The 14,198-nt window shown below is 41.0% G+C and overlaps 1 protein-coding gene across 10 annotated transcripts in view; it reads left to right on the plus strand.

Moving 5' to 3' along the window:
• The window catches only part of OGDH (oxoglutarate dehydrogenase), a 102,440-nt gene that overhangs the window by 48,225 nt on the left and 40,017 nt on the right, over positions 1-14,198 (plus strand). For 5 of the 10 annotated variants that reach the window (XM_011515408.3, NM_001363523.2, NM_001439007.1 and 2 more), the window contains 2 exons: positions 1,467-1,511; positions 11,885-12,000. In XM_011515408.3, coding sequence (XP_011513710.1) covers positions 1,467-1,511; positions 11,885-12,000 — 161 coding nt within the window. The remainder of the gene's footprint in view (positions 1-1,466; positions 1,512-11,884; positions 12,001-14,198) is intronic. The other 5 variants (NM_001439009.1, NM_001439008.1, NM_001165036.2 and 2 more) reach the window with 1 other exon arrangement.

A 14,198-nucleotide genomic window follows, 5' to 3' on the forward strand; every position in this document is an offset into this window, starting at 1 on the left:
CGCTCCCTCTCTCCTCCCTCACAGCACCTGCACTCTTCAAGAAGTAATTTACAATGCTTCAAAGCACTCAGGTGTTGGAAAATCTGTGTGCTTTCTGTAAATTGTGACAACCAGAATATCTTCTATTGTTCTCTTAACTCTCCTCTTCTTTGGTTTGTGTCTTTTGTTTGCCTTTTATTTTAAAAATATAAAAAAGTACAGATAAAAGAGCATTCACATACTCAGTACTAAGAATGTAAACATTTTACCACATTGCCTTTAGATTTTTAAAAATGGGTATGAGTATTTAAGGTTCCTTTCGAGGCCCTCCCCTGTGTAGATCCTTACCTGGAGTCTCCAGGGTAGCTAACATACACCTCACTTATGGCATCTTGACATGGTCTCATGTCTTGGTTTTGAAGATTGAAGGAGAAAATTTAAGATTCTTCATCCTTGCCTTAAGCAAAATATCGACATTTAGATATTCTGTTGTCTTAAGAGCCACTTGGCTCTGAGTTCTTCAGTGGTTGTTGTTCCCTGGGGGAAGGAGACAGTGTGGCTTGCCCAGGACTGGAGACTAGCCCCTGTCACAGCCCTAGGAAGCAGGCCTGTTTCTTGGGGTCTGAGTCTGACTTCAAAGGAAGCACTTGCTGGCCTTTCTCTGCACTCCCAGTACAGGGAGCATACCCAGTGACAGCACTCTGAGTGCTCAACCATCAGCTTCTCTGTGTGCCTGTGTTACTGCCTACCTTCCTGACCCCATCCCCCAGGCCCACAAGCCCAGACAGTAAGGGTCAGGAGCATGTTTTGTGTATCCAAATAAATGCCTTGATTTCACCAGTGGCTCAGAAAGCTGTTATGTATAGTAGAAATCCGATGAAAAGTTTACAGGTAGAAGGAAGTGTACAGCTGTGGAGATGCAGCTGTGGCTCTTGGGTTGTTTTCAGCTAGCAAGCACTTCTTTCCTAGTTTGCCTTCTTGAAATGGGAGATCAAGGAATCCTTCCATTCTTTAGAATTCTTCAAAATCTTACGGTTTAGAGTAGTCTGCCACCTGAATCTAGTGCTGAGAAATATCTGCTCTAAAAATTAGGCTTTTTCATTTTCTTTTCCTCAATTTTCATCTCAAAGTAGTGACTTCCCAGGAAAGTGCTGTTATCCGCCACTTCTTGAAGCTAAGGAGATGAGGAGCTCTCAAATGACGCTGCCTGATGGCTTTCCATCGTCAGGGTGCTAACCTCCCCTCCTTCTGATTCACCTTATTCCAGCTGTTCTATGAATCATTTCCATGTTTAATAAAATTGACCCCCTGACCATGTAACCCACCCACTTCTCCCTTGATGTGTGTGTGTGTCCCTGTGATGGTGTCTGTGCTACCTGTTACTGTGGTAATGGTGTAGGGTTTTGGTGTTTGGGTCTTTTTTAAACTAACTCTCACCTGTCTTTTTCCTTCTGCGCTCACCCATGATACCCCACTCTGCCTCTCAGATCTTGCAGTTTTCAAGGAACGACTTCGAATGCTAACAGTAGGAGGTATGAAAATAATGAGCTTTTCACCTTTTCAGAGTTGAGGACTTCATTTGAATAGGATGTGCAACTTTTCCTAGCATGCAATATGGGGAAAGTTGACGCAACTTCTGTCACGTGTTTTTAAGTTTGTTAATTGTTCTGAAATGTGTTTTTCCCTTCCTTTAATTATTAACCAATAAGTAGAGCTACTTATATGGTATCGTTTTGTTTCTGTTCATTTGTGTTTCAAAGAGCACTTTTCATCTTCACGTGTGCTTCATCGCTTCACTGTGAGCTGCCATCTTCAGCATAATTCACCTTTAGCTGCTGCCATAGCCAGCTGGGCACATGAAGCCATGTTCAGCTCTGCATGGTGGCTTGTCCTGTCCTCCACATTCTGTGCTGAGGCTTTGACTGGACTCTGGATTCTTCCAGATTCTGCTTCCTGGGCATTTTGGGCAAGATTTCCAAAATGTTTTATGTTTGAAGGCCAACTGAAGTATTAATAAAAACTTACTGAGAACTCTTAGTGACCCTCGGTTGGGCAAAACACATTTGAGGAATCCAGAGTCGAAATGCTGGGGGATCATCAGCCTGTTGTCATCCACCCTGGTGGCCAGTCTCTTCTTTACACTCTGGCTTCTCTAAGCAGTTATCTTTTTTATCATCCTTCTAATATCTGTGAAACTCTACTTTTTAATTACACTTTTAATTTTGAGATTATTATAGATCCATATGCACTTGTGACAAATAACAGTTCTGTGCCCTTTGGCCAGCTTCCCCAGTGGTAACATCTTGAAAAGCTATAGTACAACATCACACCACTACACTAAATTGATAAAGTAAGACTCTAGACATCCATCACCACGAGGATTCCTCCTGTTGCCCTTTTATGACCATATCTACTTCCCTCCCATCCCAGCCACTACTTGTATTCCCTGGCAACCACTATTTTGTTCTCCATTTCTGAAATTGTCATTTCAGGAATATTATAAATGTAGAATCACAGTATGTAACCTTTGGGGATTGGCATTTTTCAATCAGCATAATTTTCTTAGAGATTCATGCAGGTTGTTGGTGTGAATCAATAGTTTGTTCCTTTTTATTGCTGAGTAGTATTCCATGGTGTGGATGTACTATGATTGTTTTTAACCATTCACCTGTTGAAGGACCTCTTCATTGGAATGGATTGTTTCCATTCTTTGGCTAATAGGATCTTTTGCAGAGCAGAAGTTTTTAATCTTTTTTCCCCCTCGTTTCCTACCTCAGCTTCTATGCCCTAAGTTTTTAAGCTTGATGACATCCAGTTTATTAATTTTCCTTTTATGGATTGTGCTTTTGGTATGAAGTCTAAGAACTCTTTCCTTAGCCCTAGATCCCCAAAATGTTCTCCTATACATTTTTCTAAAGGTTTTATAGTTTTGTGTTTTACATATAAATCTATCATCCATTTTGTGTAAATTTCTGTATAAGACGTTTAGATCAAGATTCTTTTATTGTTCATTTTATATTTTTGTGTGTAGATGTCCAGTTGTTCTGGTGCCATTAGCTGAAAACTCTGTCTTTCCTTCATTGAATTGCTTTTGTACTTTTGCCAAAAATCAGTTGGACTTATTGGTGTGGGTCTATATCTGGATTTTCAGTTATTTTCCTTTGTGTGTCTGTTTTTCCATCGATACCACAGTGTCTTGATTACTGTAGCTACTAAACTTTATTTTTCATTTACAAAATTGTTTTAACTATTCAAGGGCCTTTTCCTTCTCCATATAAATTTGAGGATAAGCATATCTATGTCTACATATACCTTACTGCCATTTTGATAGGAATTGGCTTAAACCTATAGATCCATTTAGGGAGAAAATACATTTTTACCATGTTGTCTTCCAATCCATGCACATAGTATGTCTCCTCATTTATTTGGATCACTGATTTTTTTAATCAGCTTTTTGTAGTTTTCAGCATATACATTGTGTATATGTTTTGTTATATTTACACTTAACTATTATTTTCTTTTTTAACCTTGGTGTCCACATATTCATTGGTAGTATATAGAAATATAATTGATTTTAGTGTTTATGTTGCATTCTGAGATCCCGATGAACTCATTCTAGGGCTTTTTTTTTTTTTTTGTAGATTCCTTAGGATTTTCTATATAGACAGTCATGTCATCTGAAAATAGGAAGTTATTTCATCCTTCCCAATCTGTGTGCCTTTTATTTCCTTTTCTTGCCTTATTACAGTAGCTACAACTTTTAGCACCGTACTGAATAAGAGAGGTAAGAGTGGATAGCCTTATGCCCTGTTCCTGATCTAAGGGTAAAAGCACTGAGTCTTTCATCATTAAGTATAATGTTAACTGTAGATTTTTTGTAAATGCTCTTTATCAAGCTGAGGAAGTTCCTCTGTATTCATATTTTTTCTGATAGTTTTAATTATGAATGTATATTGAATTTTGTCAGATGTTTTTCCTGCATTGATATGATCTTGTGATTTATTATTATTATTATTATTTTTTGAGACTGATTCTTGCTCTGTCACCCAGTCTGGAGTGCAGTGGTGCAATCTCAGCTCACTGCAACCTCCACCTCCCAGGTTCAAGCAATTCTCCCACCTCAGCCTCCCAAGTAGCAGGGGGCTACCAGTGTGCACCACCACGCCCAGCTAATTTTTCTACTTTTAGTAGAGGTGGGGGTTTCACCATGTTGGCTAGGCTGGTCTAGAACTCCCGACCTCAGGTGATCTGCCCACCTCACCCTCCCAAAGTTCTGGGATTACAGACATGAGCCACCACCCCCGGCCGATTTTTATTCTTTAATGTAGATGATTTAATGCTAATGTCGTGGTAGACGATTTAATGCTAATGTCGTGGATTGTATTGATTGAGTTTTGATTATTCAACCAGCCTTGGATTAGTGGAATAAACACCATTTGATCATGGTATATAATTCTCTTTATATGTCTTTGTATCTGTCTCTTTATATATTTTGCATCCATATTGATGAGGGATATTGGTCATTTTCTTTTTTTGTACTATCTTTGCTTTTGGTATCAGGGTAATTCTGGCTTCATAAAATGAATTGAGAAGTGTTTCTCCTATTTTCCAAAAGACAGTAAATAGAATTGGTGTTAACTCTTCTTCAAATACTTTATAGAATTTTCCAGCAAAATCATTTGGGCTTAGAGGTTAGTTTTTCACAAGGTTTTTATTTATTAATTAGATTTCCTTATTAGCCATAGGGCTTTTCTAATTATCTGTTTCATATTGGGTGAGTAATGGTAGTTTGTGTTCTTCTAGAAGTGGTTTATTTCATCTAAGTTGTCAAATGTGTGTAGTGTTATTTATAGTATTCCCTTATTTTTGATAGTCATTTTTTAAATTTCTTTTTCAACTTCAAGAAAAGGAACAGAATCTTCTTGATATTTGAAGGGTCTGTATTGATATCCTGTTTCATTCCTGATATTGGTCATTTGTGTCCTCTTTTTATTTGTCAGTCTTGTAAGAGATTTGTCGATGTTACTAATCTTTTCAAAGAACCAGTTACTTGTTTCATTGGTTTTTTTCTGTTGTTTTGCTGTTTTCAATTTCATTGATTTCTGCTCTTTATTGTTTCCTTACTTCTGCTTATTGGCTTTTGGCTTCTTTGTTGTTTTTCCCTCTTTTCTAGGAATGGGAACTTAGATTATTGATTAGAGACTGTCCCTCTTTTCTGATGTATTTACTACTATAAATGTTTCTCTCAGTACTGGTTTAGCTGTCCTACAAAGTTTGATATGTTATATTTTCATTTTCTTTCAGTTGTTTTTGAGGCAAGGTCTTGCTCTGTCATTCAGGCTATAGTGCAGTGGCATGGTCACAGCTCACTGCAGCCTCTAATTCCTGGGCTTAAGTTATCTTCCCACCTCAGCCTCCCAAGTAGCCAAGACTACAGGTGTATGCCACCATGCCTGGCTATTTTTAAAATTTTTTATAGAGGTGAAATCTCACTGTATTGCCCGGGCTGGTCATTATTGTATTCTTTGTATACCCCTTGATATTTTGTCTTTGGCCTTTGGATTATTTAGAAGGGTGTTATTTAGTTTCCAAGTGTTTGGAGATTTCTTGTTACCTTTCTTATTATTGCTTTCTAGTTTGATTTCATTGTGGTTGGAGAATGCACCCTATATGATTTGAATTGTGCTAAATTTGTTGGGTTTTTAAAAAATGGCCCACCATATTGTCTGTCTTGGCATATGTTTCATGGGTGCTTGAAAAGAATGCTGCTGTTGAAATGCTATTGTTGGGTGGAGTATTCTCTAAATGTCTGCTAGAGCCAGGCATGGTGGTTCATGCCTATAAACCCAGGACTTTGAGAGACCAAGATGGGAGGATCACTTGAAGCCAGGAGTTTGTTGCCTGGCAACATAGCGAGACCCCTGTTTCCACCACCACCAACAACAAAATTAGCCAAGCATGATCGCGCGTGCCTGTAGTCCTAGCCACTCAGGAGGCTAAGGTGGTAGGATCATTTGAGCCCAGAAGTTTAAGGCTGCAGTGATCTATGATTGCACCACTATACTCTGGCCTGGGTGACCCTATCTGTAAACTACACACACACGCGCGTGTGCACACACACACACATCTGTTAGATCCTGTTAGTTAATGGCTGTTGAGTTCTGTATTTTTGCTGAATTTCTGTCTAGTTTTTTAGTCAGTTATTGAGAGAGGGGTATTAAAGTCTTCAGCTATAAATGTGGGTTTGTCTCTTTCTCCTTTTAGTCCTATCAGATTTGGGGTCACTTATTTTGCAGCTCTGTTCTTTGGTGTATACACATTTCAGATTGCTGTATCTTCTCAGTAGATTGACCCTCTTACCATGATGGAATGTCCCTCTTTGTCTCCAGTAATTTTCTTTGCTCTGAAGTTACTTCATCTCATATTAATATAAGCCATTCCTACTTACATTTGATTAATGTTTACATGATGCATTTTTTCCTCCCTTTACTTCAACTTGTCTATATCACATTTGAAGTGAGTTTCTTGTGGATAAGCATATAGGTGGGTTTTGTTTTATATTTATCCACTTTTCTCATAATCTCTGTCTTCTATTTAATATATTTAGGTCATTTATATTTAATGTAATTATTGGTATGTTAGGGCTCAAGTGTGCCATTTTATTATTTATTTTTTGTTCTGCTTTTCATTGCTTTGCTTTCATTTTCCTGTGCTGTGGATTTTTAAACCCACATTTAAAAATTTTTTTTTAATTATGTATAGTTTATGGTTTTTTGGGTTTTTTTTTGAGACGGAGTTTCGCTCTTTCACCCAGGCTAGAGTGGTGCAGGGGCGTGATCTTGGTGCACTGCAACCTCTGCCTTCCGGTTCAAGCGATTCTCCTGCCTCAGCCTCCTGAGTAGCTGGGATTATAGGTGCCTGCCACCACACCCAGATAATTTTTTTGTATTTTTAGTAGAGGCAGGGTTTCACCATGTTGGCCAGGCTGGTCTTGAACTGACCTCATGATCTACCTGCCTTGGGCTCCCAAAGTGCTGGGATTACAGGCGTGAGCCACCACGCCTGGCGTGTTTTTGAGTGTATCCTTTTATATAGCATTTTTAGTAGTTGTTTTAGGTATTACTACTTTATATAGACATAACTTATCATCTACTAGTGTCATAACTTTTCAATACATATTAAGTATGGAAACCTTACCTCCTTTTATATCTCTTTACTGTCCTGCATTTATAATATAATTATCTTAGATATTTTCTCTACATACATTTAGAACTTCATCAGACAGAGTTATAAGTTTGCTTCAACCATCAAACATAATTTAGAAGACCCAAGAGGAGGAGAATCTGATGTATTTACCCAGATTTTTGCTTTTTGTGTTCTTTCTTCCATCTTGGTGTTCCAAGATTCCTTCTTTTATTGTTTCCTTTCTGTTTAAAATACTTCCTTTGGCCAATTTTTTAGGGCAGGTCTGCTGATGACAAACTTAGTTTTCCTTTGCCTGGGAACCTCTATTTCTCCTTCATTCCTACAGGACATTTTTGGTGGATGTAAGATTCTGGTTAGACATAATCCTTTTCCCTTATCTTTCAGGTCCTGAAAAGTGTTGTGCCATTTCTTTCTTTTCTTTTCTTTTCTTTTTTTTTTTTTTTTGAGACAGAGTCTCACTCTGTTGCCCAGGTTGGAGTGCAGTGGTGCAATCTCTGCTCACTGCAACCTCCGCCTCCTGGGTTCAAGCGATTCTTCTGCCTCAGCCTCCTGAGTAGCTGGGATTACAGGCACGCACCACCACGCCTGGCTAATTTTTGTATTTTTAGTAGAGATGGGGTTTCACCATGTTGGTCAGGCCGGTCTCGAACTCCTGACCTCATGATCTGCCCCACCTCGGCCTCCCAAAGTGCTGGGATTACCGGCGTGAGCCACTGTGCCCAGCCTATACCACTTCTTTCTACCCTCCATGGTTTCTGATGAGAACTCCTGTCATTTGAATTGTTTTCCCTATAGGTAAAGTGTCACTTTACAACAACTGCTTTTAAGATTTTTTCTTTGATATTGTTTTTCAGAAGTTTAATTATCATGTGTTTTGGCATGGATTTCTTTGGGAATATCCTGTGGATTCACTCAGCTTCTTGAATCTTTGGGTTTGGTCTTTTACCATATTTGGGAAGTTTTTAGCTAAGTACCTTTTCAGCCACCCTCTTTATTTTCTGCTTCTTTGATTTTATCCATTTATATGTATGTGAAATCTTTGATTATACTGTCACATGTCCCCTGAGGCTCTGTTCATTTTTTATTTCCTTTCTGTTCTTCAGATTGGTTAATTTCTGTTGTTCCGTCTTCAAATATACTGATTCTCTGCCCCTCCATTCTGCCATTGAGCCTATCCATTGAATGTTTTTTGATTTTTTAAAAAAATTCTATTTGGTACTACTTTGCATCTTCAGTTTTTGGCTGAGACATTCTAATTTGTAACTCACTTTTAAAAATTTGTCTCTATCGTGTTCTTAATTGCTCATTGAAATTGTTTGGGCCAGGTGCAGTGGCTTACGCCTGTAAGCACTTTGGGAGACCAAGGCAGGCAGATTGCTTGAGCTCAGGAGTTCGAGACCAGCCCGGCCAACGTGGGAAAACTCCATCTCTATTAAAAATACAAAAACTAGGCCGGGTGCTGTGGCTCACGCCTTTAATCCCAGCACTTTGGGAGACTGAGGCGGGCAGATCATTTGAGGTCAGGAGTTCTAGACCAGCTTGGCCAACATGGTGAAACCCCGTCGCTACTAAAAATACAAAAATTAGCCGAGTGTGGTGGTGCACGCCTGTAGTCCCAGCTGCTCTACTCAGGAGGCTGATGCAGGAGAATTGCTCAAGCCCGAGAGGCGGAAGTTGCAGTGAGCTGAGATGGTGCCACGGCACTCTAGCCTGGGCAACAGAGCGAGATGCTATCTCAAAAAAAATTACAAAAACTAGCTGGACGTGGTGTTGTGTGCCTGTAGTCCCAGCTACTCAAGAGGCTGAGGTTGGAGGATCACCTGAGCCCTGGAGGTTAAGGTTGCAGTGAGCAGTGATCAAACCAGTACACTCCAGCCTATGCGACAGAGTGAGACCCTGTCTCAAAAAAAAAAAAAGAAAAAAGAAATTGTTTGATGATGACTGTTCAAATCACAGGCGATTCTAACATATTGGTCATCATGGTGTTGATGTCTGTTGATTTTCTTTTCTCATTCACTATGAGATATTCCTGGGTCTTGTTATGAATTATAGTTTATTGAAACCAGGACATTTTGGGTATGGTGAGAGTCAGGATCTTATTTAAATCTTCTGTTATAGCAGACCTTTTGTAGACACTGTTCCCCACTGTGGTGGGGGAAGGGGAGGGCACCACCTTGTTATTGCCAGCAGAGGTGGAAGTCCTTCTCCCACTCAAGTATCCACCGTTACTGGGATTAGGGGAAGGGGCTGATGCATTACCTCCCAGAGAGAAGGACATTTTGGATTCCCTCTTGGGCCTTCGCTGAAACCTCTGTGATGGGGTTGGGTGCTAGGGCCCATTACAGCCTGGTGAGGGTGGGGTCACAGTGTTTTCTCTGGTATTTGCCTGTAGTAGAGCAGTTTTTGTCTAAAAGTTTTTTGTCTTGATAGGCTACCTCTTTCCTGGTCTTTTGGTAGAGAGCAGCTTTTGTCAGGCTTTTGTTATCAAATACACCTCTTAAAGTTTTGGGGTTGCTGGTTCTTCTGCTCCAGGTCTGCAATATTTGAAGCAAAAAAGAAATTCCAGGGAACTCCCTGGTGTGTTTTGCCTTGAGACCTCCCTAGCTGGTGTGCCTTATTCTCTCCACCTTTCAGAGTTGTCTTATGATTGTTTTGCATATAATGTCTAGGATTTTTAGTTGTACTTATTGGGGGAATAGGGAAGAATATGTGTACTCCGCTTTCACAAAGCACTCATATATAGATCTAGTTTCTCAAATAGCTAAAGAACTAAAAGTGTACCAGCAGTTCTGAGGCTCAGCAGTATAGCCCAAGAACTATGAACTCAGGATGATAGAAGTGAAAGACCATCACATGGTGAGGTCAAGGGATATCTGTAGGCACCTACTTCACAGGGTCCATGCTGAAAGACTGCAACCAATACACAGCGCTTATCTGGGGGCATACACTGGACCGATATAGTTTCACAATCAAAATATTTCCCAACAAAATGTGCACTGTTATTCTGGTCCCCAGTCAGCTGCACCTGGCCTGAGTTTTTTAGTCAGGAAAAATTTCTCAAAGATGATTCTGTTTTTCCTCCATAAATACTATAGGGCAATTGCCCAAAAGCCAGGCCATAAATGGCAAGAGCCACGTGCTTCACCTAGGCCCAAGTGGTTGCTGTGCCCTCAGTGTTGACAGACTAACAGGAGGGAATGGGTGTTCAGGCTTAACTAAGCCACTACTACCATCACCACCCTCCAGGTTAAAAAAAAAAAAAAAAAAAAGCCAGATTTGCTTTGTTTTAATAAAACAAACAGGGCTTGGAAAATGTAGAGTTTGCTTTTAAGACTTAAAAAACAAAACAAAACAAACAAAAAAAACCTCTCCGAAAGCATTAGATAAATAAAGGCTGTAGTTCCCAAACCATGCTTGAATCAGAATCACCTTGGGAGATTTGTGGGCCCACCCTGAGACTCACTGATTCAGTACCAGGGTTGGAGCCTAGAAACAAGCCTTTTTATAAATCTCCAAGGAGATCAAAATACACAATTGTGTTTGCAAACTACCACCGTTAATCCCGTGCTGGACACTTATGGCTCCTTTTAGTCTTAATTTGGCCAGGAAACAATAAGAACATTTCATCAGGTCTAGTCAGATGTTGGAGACTTCGCAAAATACCAGTTCACTGTGCATTCCTGGAGCCTGAGAAAATGCTGATGTAAGGTATTCAAGCGCTAGTGATTCTTGAACTGTGCTTTTTGCTGTACTCTAGCTGATATATTATGTCAGGAGAGATGCCAAACTGGATAAAAGAATGTATGGTGTCATTTGACAGTCTTCCTCTTTGATACAGCAAGATGAAACAAGCATATAATGCCACAGAAAGAGCTCTTCCAGCATTATTCTTTCTCAGACTGAGATGCACTTTCAGGTGAGGTGTTGTCTTCCCCCACAGTGCTGCAGCGAATATTAGTGCTTACTCAGTTGGTTCCCGCTGAGTGATTGGAGTCAGGAGATGGGAGGGTTGTACCTGTGACTGCTGAGTATTGCCTGCAGAATGGGCTCAGAACGCATAGTTCAGGAATTTCAGGAGAAGACGATGGTCCTTAATCCAAGGCTGGGGGTTGTTTGCACGCTGCTGTGCTGCCCTGTGGTGCACCCCTGCCTGGAGCTCCAACAGACAAGTTGACTTCTGGTGACTGTTTCTCCTTCACTTCTTAGTCCCCCTCCTCCAGCTTTTTGACATTCACCACATACATATATTATTGTCATATGATCTGTTCTTCTATATCAGTTCTTCATTTTCTACTTTAATTCCTCCTTAACTATTGTACTGATTTTTGATTGACTTACCCAGTGCCTTTTCATGGACCTCTCTTCCCACCCCCAAAATTGGTTATCTTTGGGACCTTGAAATAAATTTGTCTCTAAATTATGAATAATTGGTGTACTTAACTAACTTATGCATAATATGAATTTTATTGTGACTTACCTGTCATACTCTAATAGCCTCAGCTTCTATTTATTGCTAAAGTTTGTGTTTCTGGCTGTAAAATATTACTTATTTCACATATATCAGGGGCTTTTTATATGATTTTTTTCTTCTCTTTTTGCTCACCTGGGGAGTTCCTTCCCCTTTCCATAAACTGTGGTCCCTGCATGGCTGTGCCCCATCCCTCCTCATCTGGCTTGTCCTGCCCACATCGCCCTGCAGGGTTCTATGGCCTGGATGAGTCTGACCTCGACAAGGTCTTCCACTTGCCCACCACCACTTTCATCGGGGGACAGGAATCAGCACTTCCTCTGCGGGAGATCATCCGTCGGCTGGAGGTAAGAGCAGTTTCTGGAAAAATCTAATGGACTTCTTAAGAACTTGTATTGGCAGGATGGCTTTGAGACTAGTTTTATTTTTTTTCTTTGTCCTATCTTTCTATTTTATTTTTTCTCTGAGACAGAGTTACTGTCACCCAGGCTAGAATGCAGTGACACAGTTTGGCTCACTGCAGCCTTGACCTCCCAGTCTCAAACCATCCTCCCACCCCAACCTCTTGTATCTGGGACTACTGGTACACACCACCATGCCCAGCTAATTTTTTTTTAATTTTTTATTGTAGAGATGAGGTGTTGCTGTGTTCCTCAGGCTGGTCTCAAATGCCTGGGCTCAAGTCATCCTCCTACCTCGGCCTCTCGAAGTGCTGGGATTACAAACATGAACCTGTCTGTCTTTTTAAAAATTGTAAGGGAAGGAGGACTTTTGTGGCTATTGTTGCCATTTTATAGATAGAAACCAGTGGTTTTGTGATCAGCCATAGAGAGGGGAAGTAAATTCTGCTTTCAGATCCCACTAGGAGTTTATTACAGATGGAAGGAGAGTCACTTCAACCCTGAGGGACAGGCCTCAAGTCAGGGGTGGCTTCGTGCACAGCTCAGTGTCAGGGCTGCTGAGTGGTGGCCACTCTTCTTTCCTCTCTCCCTCTGTTCCTCTCATCCTTGTGTTTTGTTTCATTTTTTTCCTTCTCTCTGGACTCTGTTAGTACTAAGCCTGCCAGGAAATTCTTTCATTCACACACATTATAGACAGTGGCTAAGAGTTGTGGCTCTGCTGTTAGGCTACCTGTGTCTAGTTCTTCCATCCTGGGCAAGTCATAGCCTCCCTCAGTATAAGGGTGACTTCTATGCCCATTGCAGAGGGGAGAATGGATTTGATGAGAGGTGCATGCCAAGAGTTGGCTATTACTGTTACTTAATGCTGTTCCTGGTATTCAGAGCTAAAGGATCGAGGTTAAAATAAACTGAGGAAATACCCTGGAATGGGGACCCTCAGAATTGAGTATATATATCAGCTGGGGTCCTGCCTATCATGCAGAGTCTGAATCCTGACGTCCCTAACTAACCCAGGTTGAACCACACTGGCCATCAGGGCTCTCTGAGGCTGTTCCTCTCATGGCTGGACATTAGAACCACCTGGAGAGCTTACAGAACTGATATCCAGGCCACAGCCCAGGTCCCCTAAATCAGAAGCCCTCTAGCACCCCAGGGATTAATGCTTGCTGCCGCAAGTGAATTTTAATTTAAAACTCTCTTGTCAGTGTTTCCAGTTGGCTGCACAGTGGCTTAAAAAGATCTGAGTGTCCAGGCCAGGCACAGTGTCTCACGCCTATAGTCCCAGCACTTTGGGAGGCCGAGACAGGTGGATCATAAGGTCGGGAGTTCAAGACCAGCCTGGCCAAGATCGTGAAACGCCATCTCTATTAAAAATACAAAAATTAGCGGGGTGTGATGGTGGGCTCCTGTAATCCCAGCTACATGGGAGGCTGACGCAGATAATTGCTTGAACCTGGGAGCGGGAGGTTGCAGTGAGCGAAGATCGCGCCACTGCACTCCAGCCTGGGCAACAGAGCAAGACTCCATCTCAAAAACAAACAAAAAAAAACTGAGTGTCCAGTGCTGGCATTTTCTGTAGTTTGTGATGAGCATCCTGAAGTATTGTCAGCATCTCAGCTTGGAGCTGCTTCACCGCCTGCCTTCCTCACTTGTTGAGGAGAAAGGGGTAGAAACCAGAACTATGTGCCAGCATCAGAAGCTTGTGGCCAGTGGGATGTATTGGGCACCAGGGGGGAGTGATAAGGATTAATCCAAGAAGAATGAACCTTTGGGTCCTTCCTGTCACCTTTATCTGCACCCACATCACCACACTGACTATAGTTTCTAGTTCTGCCTACTAGCCACATGTTACTATTGAGCACTTGAAATGTACAAAATATTTGAATGACTTTTTAAATGTTGAAAAGATAATGTTTGATACATCGGGTCAAATAAAATAGGAAAATTTCATGTGGGTCTACTAGAAAAACAAATTACATATGTGGCTTACATAATGTTTCTGTTGAATGTTGCTGATCTGTGAAGTTCTTGTGTTGCCTGGACCCCCCACAAATGGCACCCCATATAGCTTCTCCAAGTGGCCCTACCCCCAAGTTATTTCACTGCTCATGTGTTCCACCCAGTTCCTTCAGTGTATTTTCTGT

This window comes from Homo sapiens, chromosome 7, assembly GCF_000001405.40.
Source record: "Homo sapiens chromosome 7, GRCh38.p14 Primary Assembly".
Classification (NCBI taxonomy): Eukaryota; Metazoa; Chordata; class Mammalia; order Primates; family Hominidae; genus Homo; species Homo sapiens.